The sequence below is a fragment of the Homo sapiens genome, chromosome 10 (genome assembly GCF_000001405.40).
Source record: "Homo sapiens chromosome 10, GRCh38.p14 Primary Assembly".
In the NCBI taxonomy this organism is placed as follows: Eukaryota; Metazoa; Chordata; class Mammalia; order Primates; family Hominidae; genus Homo; species Homo sapiens.
In genome coordinates, this window is record NC_000010.11 from 90,507,780 (window position 1) to 90,530,671 (window position 22,892).

Below are 22,892 nucleotides of genomic sequence, written 5' to 3' on the forward strand. Positions count from 1 at the left end.
AAGGCATTCCATGAAAGGACTAAGCATAAGAAAGGTGAATCAATGTGTTAATAAATATTACTGTATATGTTATATTAGCATCAAATTATCTTTTTAAATATTCATGTAATATAAATTTTTTATGATGAGGAAATTTACCAGAAATAACAAAGGACATTTTACAATTCTAAAAGTCTCTATTAGGAAGATGAAACAATCATAAATGTGTATTATCTAATAACAGTTTCAAAATACATGAAGTGAAAGTCTAACAGAACTAAAGGGAGTAAACAGCAGACCCACAAATTAGGTAGAAATTTTAATAGCCCTCTCAAAATAATTAAAAGAATAACTAGATAAAATTCATCAGTAGACTATAAAATAGCTAAACAACAACATCAACTGCTTTGATCCAATTGACATTTAGGGAAAAATATATACTGCAAAATGCACATACTTTAATGCCCATAGATAGTCATCAAGGTACACTATATGCTGTGTCATAAAACAGATCTGAATAAATTGCTAAGGACTGAAATTTTACAAAGCATGTTCAGTAGGGAAGCATATTTAATGCATTTCTGACTTATGATATTTTACTGGGTTTACTGGAATAAATGGCTCTACTATTCTGGGGTCTGGAAGGTGATGGCACTCTTCCCACAGCTCCACTGGGCAGTGCCCCAGTGGAGACTCTTTGTGGGGGCTCCAACCCCATATTTCTCCTTGGCACTTCTGCAGTAGAATGTCTTTGCAGTGGCACCAAACCTACAGCAGGCTTCTTCCTGGGCACCCAGCCTTTCCCATACATACTCTGAATTCTAGGTGGAAACTGCCAAGCCTCCTTTAACTCTTGCATTCTGAAGGCCTGAAGAATTAACACCACATGAAAACCACCACAGCGTAGGGCTTGTGCCCTCCAGAGTAGCAGCCTGAACTGTATCTGGGTCCCTTTGAGTCATGGCTGGAGCTCAAGCAGCAAGGGATGCAGGGAGCAGTGTGCAAGCCTGCACAGAGCAACAGGGTCCAGAGCCTGGTCCCTGACACCATTCTTTGCTCCTAGACCTCTGGGCCTGTGATGGAAAGGGCTGCCTCAAAGATCTCTGAAATGCCTTCAAGACCTTTTTCCCATTGTCTTGGCTATTAGCACTTGGCTCCCTTTTAGTCATATAAATCTTTCTAGCAAGCGGTTGCTTCCTACCCACTTCAATTCCTCTCCTTAGAATGCTCTTGCCTTCTCTACCACATGGCCAAGCTGCAAAATTTCCAAACTTTTATTCTCTGCTTCCCTTTTAAATATAAGATTCAATTTTAAGTCATTCCTTTGCTCTCATATCTGAGTGTGGACAGTTACAAGCAGCTATGCCACACCTTGAACATTTTGCTGCTAAGAAATTTCTTCTGCCAGATACTCTAGGTTATAATTCATAAGCTAAAGCTTCCACAAATCCCTAAGACATGGACACAATGCAGCTAAGTTCTTTCCTGGGGTGTAACGTGGGTGATCTTCACTCCAGGTCTCAATAACTTCCTCATTTCCATCTGAGGCTTCATCAGCCTGGCCTTCACTGTTCATATTTATATCAGCGTTTTGGTGATAATTACTTGACAAGTCTCTAAGAAGTTCCAAACTTCCCCCCATCTTCCTGTCTTCTGAGCCCTCCAAACTCTTCCTACTTCTGCCTGTTGCCCAGTTCCAAAGCTGCTTCCACATTATCAGGCATCTTCATGGCAAAACCCCACTCTCAATACCAATTTTCTGTCTTCATCCTGTTTGCATTGCTATAAAGGAAAACCTGAGACTGTGTAATTTATTATCAAAAAGAGGTTTATGCAGCTTATGGTTCCACAGAATGTGCAAACATGGCACCCATGTCTGCTCAGCTTCTGATAAGGTCTCAGGAAGCTTACAATCATGATGGAAGGTGAAAAGGGAGCAAGTATGTCACACTTCATAAAAGAGCAAGAGAGAAGGGGGAGATCCCAGATAATTTTAAACAACCAGATCTTGCGTGAACTCATCGATGAGAACTCTCTCATTACCATGAGGACAGCACCAAGTGATTCATGAGGAATCCACCCCCATGACCCAAACACCTTCCACAAAGCCCTACCCGCAACATTGGTGATCACATTTCAACATGAGTTTTGGAGGGGACAAAACGTTTAAACTATATCACAACCTTAACAAAATTTTAAGAAATTAAAACCAGCTATTTGTAAATAATTATCATTATAACCAAATGAAATTTACCTGAAACTATATCATTGATTTAAAATCTAAAATCAATCATTACATTCACCACATTATCAGAATAAGTAAAAAACAAAAACAAAATACAAAAAAGACTGTAACTATCAAAAAATCAAAAATATTTAAAAATTGATCATTTTTGGTGTCATTTGATTGAATCATTTGATACGATTCAATACTCATTGAGTTAAGAACTCTCAGCAACCTAGAAACAGAAGAGAACTTCCTCATTCTATAAAAGGCATCTGAGAAAAATCTACAGAGGACATCATACTTAATGATGAAACATTTAGTGACTTCTTACTGGGATCAAGAACAGATGTTTACTATTACTTCTGCTATTCAACATTGCACTGTGTAATCTAACTAGTGCAATAGTGCAAAACATAGATCAAAGAAACAAATATTGAAAAGATAGGAGTGAAATTATGTTTATTCACAGATAATATTGTTGTCTATATGGAAAATTCTTAGTAATCTAGGAAGCAACTATTGTAACTAATATTTGAATTTAGCAAGGTTTCAGGACACAAAATCATTAAACTAAAGAATTGCATTTCTATATTCTACCATTAAAAATTGCAAATAACACTTAAAAGACTATTACACTTAAAATAACATAAAAAATATTTTATTGTTCTTAGAAATAAATTCCACTAAAAGTGTGCAATACCTCTATACCAAAAACCACATAACATTGCTGAAAAACATTTTTAAAGACCTAAACAAACAGAATTGCAGCATGTTCATGAATCAGAATAGTCAATATTTCTAAGGTGTCAATTATTTCCCAAATCTATAAATTCAATGCAATCCCATAATCAAAGGTAGTAACTTTCTAGAAATTGTCAAACTGACACTATTATTTACATGAAAATTCAAAGGACATAGAATAGCCCAAATATTCTTGGAAAAAAAGAACAAAACTGATGGACTTTCATCATCTCACTTCAAGTCTTGGCATAAAGCTTCAATAATAAAGATAGTGAAATATTGGCTTAATGACAGTCAAATATGTCAGTGGAATAGAGTCCAGAAACAGACCAATTCTTATATGGTCAATTAATTTTCCAAAAAATGACCAAAGTTATTTAATAGCGAAAAGGGAGTCTTTCTTTAAAAATGGTGCTACAGCAACTGAATATTCACATGAAAAAAATAAAAATAAACCATGAACTCTTCTGTTAGTCTGTTTAGTGTTACTATAAGGGAATACATGAGACTGGATAATTTATAAAGAAAATAGGTTTATTTGGCTCACAGTTCTACAGGCTGTATGAGAAATAAAATGCCAGCATCTGTTTCCGAGGAGGGCCTCAGGCTGCTTCCTCTCATGATGGAAGGCAAAGGGGTAACAACATGTACAGAGATCACATGGTAAGAGAGGAGCAAGAGAGCAAGTGGAGAGACGCCAGACTGTTTTTAACAACCAGTTCTTGTGGGAATTAATAGAGTGAGAAACCACTCACCCCCTTAAGGAAAGGCATTAATCTATTGATAAGCAATCTACGCTTACAACCCAAATGCCTCTCATTAGGCCCCATTTCCAACATTGGAGCTCAAATTTCAATCTGAGATATGGAGAGGACAAATATCCAAACTATAACAACTCTATACCATAAACAAAAATTGTTTTTGAGATGAGCCATAAACCTAAATGTAAATGTTGAAAGTATAAAGTCTCTAGAATAAAACATAGAACATTATTTTTGTGGCCTGGAGTTAGACAAACATTTCTTAAATACAATACAAAAAGCAATAACCATAAAAGACAAAAATGAATACACTAGATTCATCAAAATTTAAAGTATCTGCTCATCAAAAGATCATTAAGAAAAAGAATAGGTAAGCTTCATACTGGTAGAAAATGTTTGCAATACAATATTTTTGACAAGGGTTTTATTTTCATAACATGTAAATAACTCCTACAATTCAATAGCCAGAAGACAAACAACTCTATAAAAATGAGAAAAACTTGAACAGAAAACAACCTCCCAAGGAAAAGCATAGAAATGGTCACAAGCCCATGAATAAAGCATTCAATATAATTAGCTCTCAGAAAAATGCAAGTTAAAACCATCAGAAGATGCCAGTACACACTCACTAAAAAAGCAAAAATACTCACAAGTCAATCACTGGGGGACCTGGAGCAATCAGAACTCTCATACACTACACTGAAACTGTAAAATAGTACAACCACCTTGAAAAACAGTTTGTTTCTTATTAAGTCAAACATACACCCACCCTATGATCCAGCATTTTCACACCTAGGTATTCTCCCAAAAAGAATGAAAACAAATGTCCACAAATAACTTGTTCAAGAATGTTCATAGTATATCTATTCATAATAGCAAAAAACTTGTAAGCAACCCAGATGTCCATCAACAGGAGAATTAATAAATAAGTTGTGGTATATTCATAAAAGGAGTCCTACTCAGCAATAAAAAGAAATCTATTACTGATACATACAACAGCATGGAGTTATGTCGAGCAAAAAGTCAGGCATTAAAGAGTACACATACTATGTGAGTCTATTAGAAATTCTAAAACAAACAAGACTAATCTATAGTGGAAAATTCATAAAAGTGTGGCCTTTGGGTGAAGAGGTCATTGACTGAGAAAGAATTTTCTAGGTTGACAAAAATGTTCTGTATCTTGATGGGTATTATGATCTGAATGTTGCTGTGCCCCACTCCCAAATTTATATGTTGAAATTTATTCCCCAATGCATTAATATTAGGATGGTAGGGCTTTGGGAGGTGACTAGGTCATGAGAGAAGAGCACTCATCAATGGATTATGCTCTTATAAAAGAGATTAAAGAGGGAGAGTCCTAGCCTCTTGGGACCTTTCGGCCATGTGAGAACACAGCAAGAGGTGCCATCTATGAAGCACAGTGAGCTTTCACCAGACATCAGTTCCACTGGTGCCTTGATCTTGGACTTCCCCACCTCCAGAACTGTGAGAAATAAATTCCTATTATTTATAAGTCACTCAGTCTAAGGTATTTTGTTATAGCAGCCTGAATGGACTAAGACAATAGGGATGGTGGTTACACTGGTGTATGTATCTGGAAAAACATTGAATGGTACATTTAAGATTTGTGTATTTTAATATATATAAATTTTAAATTAAACTGAAAACAAAAGCAATATTGGAAATAAAAGACAGCTTCATAGAGAAAAAGATGTAGACACATGCCACAGACATAAAAACAGAAACTATCAATACAAGAAGGAATACAAAAAAGAATTCTACATATAATTTAATAAAAATCCATCTGAAAATTAAGGTAAGGAATTGGATTTTGATACATAAGTTCCTAAAGATAAGTTTGAATATCATTTATGACAAAAGACCTCATACCATTTTTATTAGAGATATATGGGTATTTTCATTGTATATTGTATTGGAACAAATTCTAGGTATTCACATATGTATAGTCATTGCACTAAGATATTCAATAAAACGATTTATTCCAATTATATCTCGCTAATTTGCCAGCAAAAATGACTAATTTTTCAACCTGGTGCTTCCTAAGAGAGATCTAACTTGGCTGTAAATTTTTTAAATTTATTTTATTATTCTGTTGGCTGCTCCTGGACTTCACTGTGAAAGGTATTTGCTTGCAAACATATTAAAGTATGAAAAATATCCAGAGACAGTAACCTAATATATTGTCACACATTTACCTATTATCTCAAGAAATAGCATCTGCTTCAATTATGCTAATAAAATGATTCTGTGGATTCTGTATGCTATTTTCTGCTTATTGAAAATAAAAACATAGCAAACTATGTTAATTTCAAACAAACTTGCACCCAATGTCTTTCATTTTTGAAAAGAGCAGCTAGCTACTTTGTTCAATGATACAGGCAGTATCTTTCTCACTTGCTCTCACCGTTCTTCTAATGATTTCAGGGCTAAGGAAAATGTTTAGAATACTACCCAGAAAATAGCCATAAGGATATTATTACACATAGTGCATCTTGAATTGGTAAAATAACCAAAAGTTTTTCTACTTTATTAATAGAATTACCCACTTCTACATGACCAAACTTCTGCTTGACCTTGTTTTACACAGTCGTCTAATATACTATTTTCTTCACTTATATCTCCCAGACATCAGCAAAGACATCTGCAAAGGCTTGAAGCCATTCTCCTTTGCCTTAGGAAATAGGTCCGAAATGATTCAATGTGCCAGCCTGCTCTCAATGCTACAGTTATAGATGGGTCTTTTCTGTGAGCCATGCCAAGCATAAATCCAAAATCACAGGTATCACCATAGATTTTACATTACTTATACTGACTTTCTAGTGGCCATTAGGAATACCATAAAAACTAATATGCCTAAGTGGGTTTAATCTCTCAGGAAAAGCTTCTCTGCATTTTCCTGCAACAAGGCTTTCAGGCCACTTTGAGTTTAATTCAATTTAATTACTGAGTCTCCAGCTCCACAGAGATTCCTGGCTGACCCCAATAAACAGATTTTCTCAGGTTGCCTCACACCCAAGCCCTGTAGTCTCTTTGCTCACAGTTACATAAAAATTGTGTTGTTGTATAAAATCATCAATCAACCCTGAGCAAAACAAATAAATTAGAGGAGCATTCCTGGGACTGGAAAAGAATAGTGAGCCTTAGAGAGAAGAGAATTGGTTGAGTCTATTCCTGCCTCAGATTTAAACTAAAATCCATTACATCACCAGAGGTTCATTCCATTTTGGTGCCTGCCTACCTGTGCATATTACTGCACAGTAATATCTTTATAATTTTTTTAACACTAAATTTCAGCCAAGTTGAACATCTTTGGCTTCTTCTAGAATATGGTGTACTTTCTTGAATCTGTGCCTTTGTTCACACTACTCTCTCTTACAACCATTTCTCCCCACATATATCCACACACTTACCTTCCCCCATTTTGCTGAAACATTTCCTACCTACACCACATGTCTCACATTAGTTGCATTTTTTTATAATTTTTATTTTTTGTAGATACCATACATTTATGAGGTACCTGAGATGTTTTGATACAGGCATATAATGCATAATAATCACATCAGGGTGAATGGGGTATCCATCACTTCAAGCAGTTATCCTTTCTTAGTGTTACAAACAATTCAATTATACTCATTTAGTTATTTTATTTTTTTTAATTTTTGTAATTTAATTTTTAAGTTGATGGGTGCATGCGCAGGTTTGTTACAGATAAACTTGTGTCATAGGGGTTTGCTGTACAGATTATTTCATCACCTAGGTATTAAGCCTAATACCCATTAATTATTTTTCCTGATCCTTTCCCTCCTCCCAGTCACTACCCTTTGATTGGGCTCAGTGTCTGTTGTTCCTCTCTATGTGTCCATGTGTTCTCATCATTTAGCTCCCACTTATAATTGAGAACATGTAGTATTTAGGTTTCTGTTCCTGCATCAGTTGGCTAAGGATAATGGCCTCCAACTCCATCCATGTTCCTACAAAGGACATGATCTCATTCTTTTTTATGGCTGCATAGTAGTCTATGGTGTATGTGTACCACATTGTCTTTATCCAGTCTACCATTGACAGGTTTTTAGGTTGATTCCATAACTTTGCTATTATGAATAGTGCTGTAATTAACATATGTGTGCATGTCTCTATGATAGAATGACTTATATTCCTTTAGGTATATAACCAGTAATGGGATTGCTGGGTCAAATGATATTTCTGTTTTTAGGTCTTTGAGGAATCACCACACTGTTTTCCACAATGGCTTAACTAATTTACACTCCCACCAACAGAGTGTAAGTGTTCCTTTTTCTCCACAACTTCACCAGCATCTGTTATTTTTTTACTTTCAATAGCCATTCTGACTGGTGTAACATGATATCTCATTGTGGTTTTCATTTACATTTCTCTAATAATCAGTGATATTGAGCTTTATTTTATATGTCTGTTGGTCATATGTATGTCTTCTTTTGAAGTGTCTGTTCACGTCCTTTACCCACTTTTGTAATGAGCTTGTTTTTTTCTTGTAAATTTGTTTAAGTTCCTTACAGATGCCAGATATTATACCTTTATCAAATGCATAGTTTGCAAAAATGTGCCCCCATTCTGTAGGCTGTCAGTCTACTTTGCTGATAGCTTCTTTTGCTGTGCAGAAGTTCTTTAGTTTAATTAGATCCCATTTGTCAATTTTTGCTTTTGTTGCAAATATTTTGATGTCTTTTATCGTGAAATCTTTGCCCATTTCTGTGTTCAGAATAGTATTTCCTAAGTTGTCTTCTGGGGTTTTTATACTTTTGGATGTTACATTTAAGTCTCTAATCCATCTTGAGTCAATTTTTGTATATGGTGTAAGGAAGGGGTCCAGTTTCAATCTGCATATGGCTAGCCAGTTATCTCAGCACCATTTATTGAATAGGGAGTCCTTTCCCCATTGCTTGTTTTTGTCAGCTTTGTCAAAGATCAGATAGTTGTGGATGTGCAGCATTATTTCTGGGCTCTCTATTCTGTTTTGTTGGTCTATATGTCTGTTTTTGTTCCAGTACCATGCTGTTTTGTTTACTGTAGCCCTGTAGTATAGCTTGAAGTGGGGTAGTGTGATGCCTATAGCTTCGTTCTTTTTACTTAAGACTGCCTTGACTATTTGGGCTCTTTTTTGGTTTCACATGAATTTTAAAACAGTTTTCTCTAGTTATTGGTACTTCATTAGGAAGAGTATTGAATCTATAAATTGCTTTTGGCAGTGTGGCCATTTTAATGGTACTGATTCTTCCTATCCATAAGCCTGGAATGTTTTTGCATTTGTTTGTGTCTTCTCTGATTTCTTTGAGTAGTGTTTTTCAGTTCTCCTTGTAGAGATATTTCACCTCCGTGGTGAGCTGCATTTCTAAGTGTTTCACTCTTTTGAATGGTGATTGTGAATGGGATTGAATTTCTGATTTGGCTCTTGGCTTGACTGTTTTTGGTGTATAGGAATGCTAGTAATTTTTGTGTGTTGATTTTTTATCAACTTTGCTGAAGTTATTTATCAACCTAAGGAGCTTTTGGGCCCAGACTAAAAAGTTTTCTAGATATATCTGCAAACAGGGATAGTTTGATTTCTGCTCTTCCTATTTGAATACTCTTTATTTCTTTCTCTTGCCTGATTGCTCTAGCCAGAACTTTCAGTACTATATTGAATAGAAGGAGTAAGAGAGGGCATCCTTGTTTTGTGCCAATTTTCAAGGGGGAATGCTTTCAGATTTTGTTCATTCAGTATGATGTTGGTTGTGGGTTTGTTATAGATGGCGCTTATCATTTTGAGGTGTGTTCCTTCAATGACTAGTTTATTAAGAGTTTTTAACATGAAAGGGTGTTAAATTTTATCAAAAGACTTTTCTGCATCTATTGAGATAATCATGTGTTTTTTGTCTTTAGTTCTGTTTATGTGATGAATCACATTTGTTGATTTGCATATGTTGAACCAATGTTACATCCCAGGGATAAAGCCTATGTGATCGTGGTGGATAAGGTTTTTGATTTGCTGCTGGATTTGATTTGCCAGTATTTTGTTGAGGATTTTTGCATTGATGTTCATCAAGGGTATAGGTCTGAAGTTTTGTGGGGATTTCTTGCTGTGTCTCTGCCAAGTTTTGGTATCAGGATGATGCTGGTCTCATAGGAAGAGTTATAGAGGAGTCCTCCTCCTCAATTTTTTGGAAAGTTTCAGCAGGAATGGTACCAGCTCCTCTTCGTCTATGTGATCCTGAGCTTTTTTCGTTTGGTAGGCTATATATTTGGTAGGCTGATTCAATTTTGAAGCTCATTATTACTATGTTCAGGGATTCAGCTTCTTCTTGGCTCAGCCTTGGGACAGTGTAAGTGTCCAGGAATTTATTCCTTTCTTCTAGATTTTCTAGTTTATGTGCATATGGGTATTCATAATATTCCCTGATGATTATTTGTATTTCTGTTGGGTCAGTGGTAATATCCCCTTTGTAATTTCCAATAATGTTTATTTGGTTTTTCTCTTTTTTCTCATTAGTCTATCTTAACAGTCTATTTTATTAATTTTCTCAAAAACAAACTTCTGAAATTGTTGACCTTTTGAATGGTTTTTCATGTCTCAATCTCCTTCTCAGCTCTAATTTTAGTTATTTCTTTGTTTTCTGCTAGCTTTGGGATTTGTTTGCACTTGTTTCTCTAGTTCTTTTAGTTGTGATGTTAGGTTAACTTGAGATTTTTCTAATTTTTTAACGTGGGCATGTAGTGCTATAAATTACCCCTTAACACTGCCTTAGTTGCATCCCAGAGATTCTGGTATGTTGTATCTTTGTTCTTATTAGTTTCAGAGAACTTCTTGATTTTGCCTTGATTTCATTATTTACCCAAACTCATTGGGAGAAGGTTATTCAATTTCCATTTAATTGTATGGTTTTAAGTGAATTTCTTAGTTCTGATTTTTAAGACTAAGAAATTTGATTACCCTGTCGTTTGACAGAGTGCTTGTTATAATTTAAGTTCTTTTGTATTTGCTGAGTAGTATTTTATATGCAGTTATGTGATTGACCTTAGAGTATGTGCTATGTGATATTGAGAAGAATGTATATTCTATTGTTTTAGGGTAGAGAGTTCTGTAGGTGTCTATTAGGTCCATTTGATCCAGTGTTGAGTTCAGGTCCTGAATATCTTTCTTAATGTACTGCCTTGATGATCTGTCTAATACTGTCAGTTGAGTGTTAAAGTCTCCAAGTACTTTTGTATGGGAGTAAAAGTCTCTTTGAAAGTCTCTAAGAACTTGCTTTATAAATCTGGGTGCTCCTGTGTTGAGTGCATATTTAGTTAGGATACTTAGGTCTTCTTGTTGAATTAAACTCTTTACCATTATGAAATGCCCTACTTTGTCTTTTTTTATCTTTGTTGGCTTAAAGTCTGTCTTATCTGAAATTGAGATTGCAAACTCCGTTTTTTCTGTTTTCCATTTGGTTGATAGACTTTTCTCCCGTTATTTTGAACCTATAGGTGTCACTGCACATAAGATCGGTCTCTTGAAGACAGTATATCAATAGATCTTGGTTCTTTATCCAGCTTGCCACACTGCACCTTATAATTGGGGCATTTAGCCTAGTTGTATTTGAGGTTAGTATTGATATGTGTGTATTTGATCCTGTAATCATGATGTTAGCTAGTTATTATGCAGAATTGTTGTGTGGTTGCTTTATAGCGTCACTGGCCTCCGTACTTAAGTGTGTTTTTGTAGTGGCTGGTAATGATCTTTCTTTTCTATATTTAGTGCTTCCTTCAAGAGCTTTTGTAAGGCAGGTCTGGTTATAATGAATTCCTTCAGCATTTACTTGTCTGAAAAAGGATCTTACTTCTCCTTTGCCTATGTTTGGTCTGGCTGGATATGAAATTCTTGGTTGTAATTTCTTTCTTTAAAGAATGTTGAATATTGGCCCCCAGTATCTTCTGGCTTGTAGGGTTTCTGCTGAGAGACCTGCTATTGTTCTGATGGGCATCCCTTTGTAGGTGACCTGCCCTTTCTCTCTAGCTGCCTTTAACATTTTTTCATTCATTTCGACCTTGGAGAATCTGAAGATTATATGTATTGAGGATAATCTTCTCGTGAAGTATCTTACTGGGGTTCTCTGAATTTCCTGAACTTGAATATTGACTTTTCTAGCTAGGTTGGGGAAATTCTCATGGATGATATACTGAAAGATTTTGTTTCTTATGAAGGTGTGTTTTTTTTTTTTCTATGTAAATAGTTGTTAAATTGGTGTGCTTGTGGAGGGGATAATTGGTGGAGACTTCTATTCTGTCATCTTGCTCCAACTCTCCTCATTTACTTATTTTAAAATTTACAATCAATAATTGTTGATTGTATTCACCCTCTTATGCTACCAAATACTAGAGGTTTTAAGTTCTACCTAAATATATATGCTTTTATCCATTAATTATCTCCGTTTTCCTCTACTACCTTTCCCAGCCTCTGGTAACCATCATTCTACTCTCCATCTCCATGAGTTCAATTATTTTAATTTTAGCTCCCACGAATAAGTAAGATCATGTGAAGTTTGTCTTTCTGTGCCTGGCTCATTTCACTTAACACAATGACCTACAGTTCTATTCATGTTGTGCAAATGTCAGGATCTCATTCATTTTTATGGCTGAATAGTACACCATTGTGTGTGTGTGTGTGTGTGTGTGTGTGTGTGTGTGTATTATATATCACATTTTCTTTATCTGTTTGTCTGTTGATGGACATTTAGGCTGCTTCCAAATCTTGGCTACTGTGAATAGTGCTACAATAAACATGGGAGTGTAGATATCTCTTTAATGTACTGATTTTCTTGCTTTTGAGTATATACCTAGCAGTGAGACTGCTGGATCATACGATAGCTATATTTTTAGTTTTTTGAGAAACCACCAAATTGTTTTCCACAGTGGTTGTACTAATTTACATTCCTACCAACAGTGTATGAAGATTTCTTTTTCTCCACATCCTCACCAGCATTTGTTATTTCCTGTTATTTGGATATAAGCCATTTTAACTGGGGTGTTCTTGGTACCTTTGTCAAAAATAAGTTCACTGTAGGGGTGTGGATTGGTTTCTGGTCCCTTATTCTCTTCCATTGTACTATGCATCTGTTTTTATGCCAGTATCATGCTTTTTTCGTTACTATACCTCTATAGTATAATTTAAAGTAAGGTAATGGGACTCCCCCAGTTTTATTCTTTTTGCTCAAGAAAGCTTTGGCTATTCTAAATCTTTTGTGGTTTCATATAAATCTTAAGATTGCGTTTTTTCATCTCAGTATAAAAATGTCATTGGCATTTCGATAGGGACTACATTGACTCTGTAGGTTGTTTCAGGCAGTATGGACATTTTAACAATATTGATTCTTCCAATCCGTGAACATTAAATATCTTTCCTTTTGGTGCATTTGCTTCCATTTCTTTAATCAATGTTTTACAGTTTTTGTTGGAAAGATCTTTCACTTCTTCAGTGAAGTTTAGTTCTAGCCATTTTATTTTATTTGTACCTATTGTAAACAGGATTACTTCCTTGGTTTCTTTTCCAGATTGTTCACTTTTGCCATATGAAAATGTTGATAATTTTCTATGTTGATTTTGTATCCTGCAACTTTACTGAATTTATCAGTTCTAATAGTTTTTTTGAGTCTTTATGTTTTTCCAATTATAAGATTATATCATCTGCAAACAAGAATATTTTGACTTCTTTATTTCCAATATAGTTGCCCTTTTTTTTTTCCTTTGTCTGATTGCTCCAGCTAGGACTTCAAATACTATACTGAAGAGCAATGGTGAAAGTGGACATCTTTGTGTTCCAGATCTTAGAGAAAAAGATTTCAGTCTTTCCCTATTCAGTAATACTAACTGTGGGTCTGCCAAATATGGTTTTTATTTAGTTGAGATACAGTCCTTTTATATCAAGTTTTTTTAGGGTTTTTATCATGTAGGAATATTGAACTTTATCAAATGCTTTTTCAGCCTCAATTGAAATGATTATATGGTGTTTATCCTTCATTCTGTTGATGTGATATATCACATTGATTGATTTGAGCATGTTGAAACATCATTGCATTCCAGGGATAAATCCCACTTGGTTATAATGAATGATCTTTTTTTTTCTTTTTGAGACAGGGTCTTACTCTGTTACCCAGACTGGAGTGCCACACACAATTACAGCTCACTGAAGCTTCAACCTTTTGAGCTCAAGTGATCCTCCTTCCTCAGCCTCCTACGTAGCTAGTAGCAAAGGCACATATCACCATGCCCAGCTATTTTTTGTTTGTTTGTTTGTTTAGTAGAAGCAGGGTCTCAGTTTGTTGCTCAGGCTGGTCTTGAACTCCTGCACTCAAGCAATCTTCTAACCTTGGACTCTGAAAATGCTAGGACTACAGTCATGAGCCACCATGCCTGGCCAAATGATTTTTCTAATGGGTTGTTGAATTCAGTTTGCTAACATTTTCTTGAGAACTTTTGCATCAATGTTCATCAGGAAAATTTGCCTGTAGTTTTGTTTTGTTTTGTTGGTTTTTTTTTTTTTTGAGACAGAGTCTCACTCTGTCACCCAGGCTGGAGTGCAGTGGCACAATCTTGGCTCACTGCAAGCTCCGCCTCCCGGATTCATGCCGTTCTCCTGCCTCAGCCTCCCGAGCAGCTGGGACTACAGGCGCCCGCCACCACGCCTGGCTAATTTTTTCTATTTTTTAGTAGAGACTGTGTTTCACCGTGTTAGCCAGGATGGTCTTGATCTCCTGACCTCGTGATCCACCCTCCTCAGCCTCCCAAAGTGCTGGGATTACAAAGTGTGAGCCACCTGCCTGGCCTGTTTTGTTTTATTTTGTTTGTTTGTTTTTTGATGTGTCTTTGGTTCTGGTATCAGGGTAATACTGGCCTCATAGAATTAGTTTGGAAGTATTCCCTCTTCCTCTATTTATCAGAAGTTTGAGTAAGACTGCTGTTAGTTCTTCTTTAAATATTTAGTAAAATTCAGCAGTGAAGCCATTAGGTCTGAGCTTTTCTTTGCTGAGAGGCTTTTTGTTATGGCTTTAATCTAATTACTTCTTATTTGTTCACATTTTGGACATTTTTGTGGTAAAATCCTGATAGGCTTTATATAGGAATTTATCCATTTTTTCTAGGTTTTCCAATTTATTGGCATATAGTTCTTCATAGTAGCCTCTAATAAAATTTCTGTAGTAACAGTTTTAGTGTCTCTTTTTTATCCCTGATTTTATTTGGGTCTTTTCTTGTTTTTTTCTTAGTATACTAAAGGTTTGTCAGTTTTAATTATCTTTCCAAAAATCCAGCTTTTGTTTTATTGATCATTTGTATTGGTTTCTCTATTTCAATTTGAGTTATTTTCTGCTCTGATCTCGTGTTATTTTTTTTCTTTTACAAATTTTGGGTTTAGTTTGCTCTTGATTTTCTAGTTCTTTAAGATCCAACATTAAGTTTTTTATTTGACATTTTTCTACTTTTTTGATGTAGGTGCTTTAGCTATAAACTTCCCTCTTAGTGCTGCTTTCATTGTATCCATTGGTTTTGGTATGTTATGTTTCACTGTCATTTGTTTCAAGAGCATATTGTTTAATTTCAGTGTGTTTATGTAATTTCCCAAATTTCTCTTGTTATTAATTTGTAGTTTTATTCCATTGTGTTCAGAGAATATACTTGAAATAGTTTTAATGTTTTTAAAATTTTAAGACTTATTTTGTGGCCCAACATATGGTATCTCCTTGAGAATGACCCATGCAACGAAGAGAAGAATATATATTCTTCAGCCATTGGATGAAATGTTTTATAAAAACCTATTAGGTCCATTTGGTCTATAGTGCTCATAAACTCTAGTGTTTCTTTGTTGATTTTCTATCTCAATGGTGTGGCCAGTGCTGAAAGTGGCCAGCTATTATTGTATTGGGGTGTATCTGTCTCTTAGCTCTAACAGTAATTGCTTTATATATCTTGGCACTCCATTGTTGAGCACATATATATTTATAATTATAAAATCCCCTTGGTGAATTGACTCTTTTGTCTTTATATAATGACTTTATTTTTTGCTTTGATGGGTTTTTTCTTGAAATCTATTTTGTCTGATATAAATATCACTACTCCTGCTCTTTTTCATTTTCCATTTGCATGGAATGTCTTTTTCCATTCCTTTATTTTTAGTCTTTGTATGTCTTTGTAGGGGAAATGTGTTTCTTGTATGGAACAGATCATTGCGCTCGGTTTTTTTTTTTTTTTTTAATTTTATCCATTCAGCCACTCTGTGTCTTTTGATTGGAGAGTTTAGTCCATTTATATTCAATGTTATTATTGATAAATAAGGACTCACTCCTGTCATTTTGCTATGCATTTCCTGGTTATTTTGTGGTCTTATCTTGTTTCCTTCCTTCCTATCTTTGTTTTAGTGAAGGTGATTTTCTCTGGCGGTGTGTTTTAATTTCTTGCTTTTTTTGTAGCTGTTGTATGTTTTTAGATTTGAGGTTACCATAAGGCTTGCAATACTATCTTATAACCCATTATTTTAAACTGATGATGACTTAAAACTGATTACATAAACAAACATGCAAAATGAAAACTAATAAATACTCTACACTTTAACCTTATCCTCTCACTTTTTAACTTTTTATTGTTTCTGTTTATGTCTGGTCCTGTCTATATCTTGAAAAGTTGTAGTTATTATCTTCATTGGTTCATCTTTTAGTCTTTCTACTCAAAATATGAGTAGTTTACACACCACAATTATAATGTATACTATTCTGTGTTTTTCTGTTTACTATTACCAGTGAGTTTTTACTTCAGATGATTTTTTATTGCTCATTAACATCCTTTTCTTTCAGACTGAAGAACTTCCTTTAGCTTATCTTGGAGGATACGTCTGATGTTGATAAGATCCCTCCATTTTTGTTTGTCTGGGAAAGTCTTTATTTATCCTTCATGTTAGAAGGATATTTTTACTGAATATGCTATTCTAGGGTGAACATTCTTCACCTTCAGCACTTGAAATATGTCATGCCATTCTCTCTTGCCCTGTAAGGTTTCCACTGAAAAGTCTGCTGCTAGACATATTGGCGCTCATTGTATGTTATTTGTTTATCTTGCTGCTTTTGGGATACTTTCTTTATCCTTAAACTTTGGGAGTTTGATTATTACATGTCACAAAGTAGTTTTATTTGGGTTAAAGCTGCCTGGTGTTTCACAACCCTCTTGTACTTGAATACCAATACCATTTTCTAGGTTTGAGAAGTTATCTTATTATTCCTTTGAATACAGTTTCCACACCTATCTCTTTCTCTTACCTCCACTCTAAGATCAGTAACTCTTAGATTTGCCCTTTTGAGGCTATTTTTTTAGATCTTGTTCATGTGCTTCATTGTTTTTTTTTTCTTTTGTCTCCTCTGTGTATTTTCAAATAGGCTGTCTTCAAGCTCACTGTTTCTTTCTTCTGCTTGATCAATTTTGCTATTAAAGGACTCTGATGCACTATTCAGTATTGAAATTGCATTTTTCCACTCCAGAATTTCACTTGGTTCTTCCAAATTATTATAATCTCTTTGTTAAATTTAGCTAATATGATTACAAATTCCTTCTCTGTGTTATCTTGAATTTTGTTGTGTTTCCTTAATATAGTTATTTTGAATTCTCTGTCTGAAACATCACCTGTCTCTGTCTCTCCAGAGCTGGATCCCCTAAATAAGGTACCAGAACTGGTACCTTATTTAGTTTATTTGATGAGTTCATGTTTTCCTGGGTGGTCTTGATGCTTGTGGATGTTTGCCAGTGTCTAGGCATTGAAGAGTTAAGTATTTATTGTAGTCTTCAGAGTTAGGCCTTTTTGTACCTGTTCTTCTTGGAATATTTGGAAAAAAAGATTTTCCAAATATTCAGAGGAACTTGGGTGTTTTAATCTAAGTTTTGGTATCTGCAGTCATATCTGTATTATAGGGTACACCAAGCTCAGTAATGCTGTGGCTCTTGCAGACTTGTAGAGTTACCACCTTGGTGGTCTTAAATAACTTCCAGAATAATTCTCTGAATTACTAGACAGAGAATCTTGTTATCTTCCATTACTTGTCTCCAAACAAATTGAGTCAGTCTCTCTCTCTCCCTCTCTCTCTCTCTCTCTCTCTCTCTCTCTGTGCTGAGCTGTCTGGAGCTGGGTAAGGGATGACACAAGCACCCCGGTGATTACTGTGGCTGGGACTGGGTCTGACTTGAAGCTAGCACAGTACTGGTTGTCACCACTGCCTGGCTACTGCCTATGTTCATTCAAGGTCCTAGGGTTCTACAATTAGCATGTGACAAAGCCAGCCAGGCTTATGTCCTTCCCTTCAGGGCAGTGAGTTCTCCTGATCTCAGATGGATCCAGAAATGCCATCCAGGAGCCAGGGCCTGGAATCAGAAACCTTAGGAATCTATCTAGTGCTCTATTCTACTGCATCCCAGCTGGCACCCAAGCCACTGGACAAAGGCCTTCCAACTATTCCCTCCACTTCAAGGAGGAGAGGAGTCTCTGCCAATAGCCATCACTGCCCCAGGGCCATGGCAAATATTGCCTGGCTAGCCAATGTTCACGCAATGTCCAAGGGTTCTTTAGTCAGCTTATGGTGAATGCTGCCAGACCTGGGGCTCTCTCTTCATGGAAGTAGGCTCTCTTTGGCCCAAGGCAGATCCAGAAATGCCATCCAAGACTCAAGTCCTGGAACAGGGGACCCCAAGAGACTGCTTGGTGCTCTACCCCACTGTGGCCAACCTGGTACCTAAGCTGCAAAACAAATTCCCCTTCACTCTTCCCTCTCCTTTCCTCAAGCAGAAGAAGTCTCCTCTATGTAGCCACCACTACAGGGAACACGCTGGGTCACACCTGAAGCTAGCACATCTCTGAGTCTCACCTAAGGCCCATGGTGAGTACTGCCTGGGTATCACTGCTGGTTATTTGGTGCTCAAGGAACTCTTTAGTCAGCAGGTGATGGATTCTTCCATGTCTGGGTCCTTCCCTTCAAGGCAGGAGGTTCCCTTCTGGCCCAGGGTATGTCTAGAAATGTCATCCAGGAGCTGGGTCCTGAAGTGGAGGCTTCATGACTCTTCCAGTACCCTATCCTATTGTGGCTGAGCTGGTATGTAAGTTGCAAGGCAAAGTCCTCTTTAGTCTTCCCTCTCATCTCTTCAAGTGGAGAGGTATCTGTACCAGAGCTGTGAGCTGTGCTACCTGGGGCTATGGGAGGGCTGGAGCAAACACTCCCTTGGCCACTCCAGATGGTGTCTCACTAGGTCATGTGTCCCTCAAGTCCACTGGCTCAGAGCCCAGCACAACATCAGAACTTGCCCAAAACTTTTAGTCCTTCTGGCCTAGATTGCCTTACAAGTTTACTTAGGACCCCAGAGCCCTTAAGCCTACAGTAGTGGGGCTTGCCAGAACTCAGATTCCAGCCACTGGGATAGGCAATTCCCCTCTGGCTAGAGCTGTTCTAAATGCTCCCTCAGTGGGTGCCAGCTGAATTCTGCCAAATGTTGCTTTCTGCTGTGACAAGACAGCACTGACTTTCAATGCATAGTCCCACAAATCCTGTACTCTCCCTCCCTGAAGCACACAGATCCTTTCTCCGCACTATGTGGCTGCTGCTGGGAGCTGAGGGGGTGGGGGGTGGTATTAGCAATTTAAGACTGTCTTTCCTGCCCTCTTCAGTACCTCTTTCCGTGATATGAAGTTAAAACCAGGTACTATGATCACTCATCTGATTTTTGGTTCTTATGAAGGTGCTTTCTTACGTGGATAGTTGTTCAGTTTGGTGTTCCAGCAGGAAGGATAATTAGTGAAAGCTTCTCGTCAACCATTTTACTCCTCCTTCTCTCTAGTTGCAATTTTTCAAATAATTATTCCCGAATGCCCCCAGATTCTCCTTAAGTGACATTTCTAGGGGTTTCCATAGTCCCTCTACTCCTCCAAGAATTAATAAATAAATGAAGCCCCAGGAGGAAAAAAAAGAGAAAATACAAAATATTATATATATATATACAGTAAACATGAAATAGAACTATTATAATCTAAGGTCAGCTTATAATATTATAGAAACAGGATGAATCCATGCTAACAAAGTTAGGTCTGTTCTACAGAGTTTAAAAATTGAGAGATATCAAATAAAAATACTGATTTCTGGCTTCTCTTTAAAAAGATTTCTGGAAATACTATACCTATGTTTTAACATGCCAAAAATTGTCTGGGGCTGGGGAGCAGTTAATCCCTTTGAGAGAGTCTGTGGGCTCCAGTTCACCACTCCTGGTCACTGCCTGCAACACTTATATGTGTTGCCTACTGGACCTCTGTCAGCGTGTTGAACTTACAGCCTTGTATAGACCAAGGTTGAAACTTTAAACTCTATGTTTATGTTGACAACATGAGGCCAAAGATGAAACAAAAAGGAAGAAGGATTTGTGTTCTGAGATTTTTAAAAGCAGAAGAAAAATAAGAATATGACAAAGAGTATATATCCAGTTTTTCTGTTTCAGTAGCTTTAGTTAAGTCTAGTTTGCAAATGGTTTTGTCATGATCCGATAGGAAAGGAATGTGAAATGGTTAATAATATGCATTAAATTAAAACTCTCTGTTTATCTAGGTAGCCTGGTACCTGAATACAGATGGTAACTGAATAACAATGTCATAGAGTTAAATTTTCAATGCGAAGCCATCATTCAAATATGTGCTTCAGGTGCTACAGTTTGATGCCCTACACTGCCCTGTCAACAAAATGGGTGGTTCCTTTATGCTCAGGCAAATAGGAACACATGAGCCCTGTGTGGAAATCCAAAAGGAATGGTCCATAAGAAAGCAATTCCTGTATTTTATCATAGACTGTTGTCCCTTTCAAAGCCAGGGTATTATTTAGTGTATGATCTCATCTCTGGAGACTAGTAAAAATATATTATTTCTAGTAAATGCAAATTTTTACTTTAGTATTATGAGAAAATGGGGACACTTTAGACCATAAAAAGGGACACTTTAGACCATTTTATGCTTTGGGGAAAAAGACTTTTAAACATGACATGTCATCCAAAAAATAAATAGCTTCATAAAACTGCCCCAGGGAAGATGAAAAAGTTGTAAGAATAAAAATCTTCTGAGACATTAAATGACCCACAAAATGCAATTATTGACAATAAAATTTTGTTCTTCATAATACTTACAGAACCTCTAAAATATCCCTTTTAATATAGGTGAACAAAGCTACTACCACATCATATTAGTTTCCTATTGCCACTGTTAACAAATTACCAGAAAGTTCATGGCTTAAAACAACACACATTTATTATCTTACAAACTCTGGAGGTCAGAAGTCCTAAAATTGAGGTGTTTTCAGGGCTGTGTTCCTTCTGGATGCTCCAGAGGAAAATCCATTATCTTCTTCCACCCAGCTGCTAGGGGCCATTTACATGCCTTAGCTCATGGCCTCTTCTTCCATCTTCAAAGCCAGCACTGTAGCATCTTCAAATCTCTCTATGACTCTGACCCTCCCCCATCCCTCTTATAGTGGCTTGTAGTTACATTGGGCACCTCCTAAGATAATCCCAGATAACATCTCATCTCAAAGTTCTCAATTTAATTTCATCTGAAAAGTCCCTTTTGTCATTGAAGGTAACATATTCACAGGTTCTGGGGGTTAGGAAATTGACATCTTTAGACAGCCATTACTCTGCTTACAAGACACATTGGTCTTGATTTGACTTGGAACATACACCATGACAGCAAGGAAGGTAATGAGAGTAAACAAAGTGCATTTAGGTAACTCTCAAAGTTGTTTCGGACAAAACTGAATCACATAAAAACAGAACATTCTATTTTGCTGCAATTTTTTACCTTTAATCTACTAATTTATATTTGAAATAACTGTTTTTAGAAATATCTTTCTTTGAATGTTGCAGATGTGAATGAGATATAATGAAAAGAATGAATGCACACTTATTGATCATTGTACTAAGGTCATTGAACAACAAAATCTCATCAAATAGTTAAGTATTTTAAATAATATAAAACACATGGAAGCTTTACCCAAGGAGAGACAGTGATCTTATTTAATATTCTGTGTGGCTAAATGAAACCTTGATGAGAAAAGGGGGCCTTCAGATATAGTAAAGGTTGCACTGTGTGTGTGTGTGTGTGTGGGTGTGGTGTGTACGCATGCGTAGTAACATAACATTCAGTAAGCATGCACCATGTTCCAGGAACTTTTCTTAGCACTCTGTAGGTATTACTTGTTTAACCCTCACCATAACCCAGTAGAGCAATTCCTACAATTATCCTTTTACAGGTAATTACATTGAGGCACAAAGAAATGACCTACCCCAAATTTCAAACCTAGTAAGCAATAAAGCTTGGATTTAAACCCAGGTGTTCTGCCTTCAGAACCAAAAATTAGAAAAGCCTAAAAGTTTCTTTTATCTGTTTTAAGGAAAGAACTTTCCAGAAGGAAAGAACTAGAGGAAAGGTAGAACACATTGTGGAAGTTCTCTATGCAGATCAACAAGGTATACAGACTTTTACTAATTTTCTTCATATGAACCCACAAACCCAGAAGCAAGCATTATTATCTAGATTTGGAGCTCTTCTACTTTGAAATTGATAGAGTTGGACATGCACAGATTAATAATAATAATATTTTCTACATTTGCTGTTGAAACACAGATAAATGAGGAATGATCCTAGAAAAAACTTTACAGATGCACACACATGCACACACACACACACACACACACAGACACAGCACAGGGACCCCAAGGTCACTGTCTTATTGAACTACATAGCATGTTAAACACAATTACTACCTTTTCTTGGGCAAAGTCTCCATTTTTCCATATTATTTAAAATGCTTATGTATATGATGAGATTATGTTGGTCAAACAGCATAGGACAATGTTCAGTAAGTGTTTGTTCATTTTTAAAATTTTATCTCATTCACGTATGGAAGGTTCAAAGAAAGATGTTTCTGAGAGGAGTTATTAAACATTTAAAAAGTAAAAGTAAAACGAAACAATTTATGTTTGAGAAAAAAATGTTGTCTATGAAATGCTTCCCACTAAAACCATTTGTTTCCTGTTTTCCCTCTTATCTCAAGGATCCCATGACCGAGACACCTCATGCCTTCCAGAAGCTGAAGGTGAAAGCTCACTAAGAT

General features: G+C 36.3%; 1 long non-coding RNA gene across 1 annotated transcript in view; it reads right to left on the bottom strand.

The window, feature by feature from the left end:
* Positions 1–22,892, bottom strand: part of LINC02653 (long intergenic non-protein coding RNA 2653) — a 138,285-nt gene that overhangs the window by 105,259 nt on the left and 10,134 nt on the right. Inside the window, exon 2 of the long non-coding RNA NR_110657.1 lies at positions 19,495–19,660. This is a non-coding gene — a long non-coding RNA (long intergenic non-protein coding RNA 2653). The remainder of the gene's footprint in view (positions 1–19,494; positions 19,661–22,892) is intronic.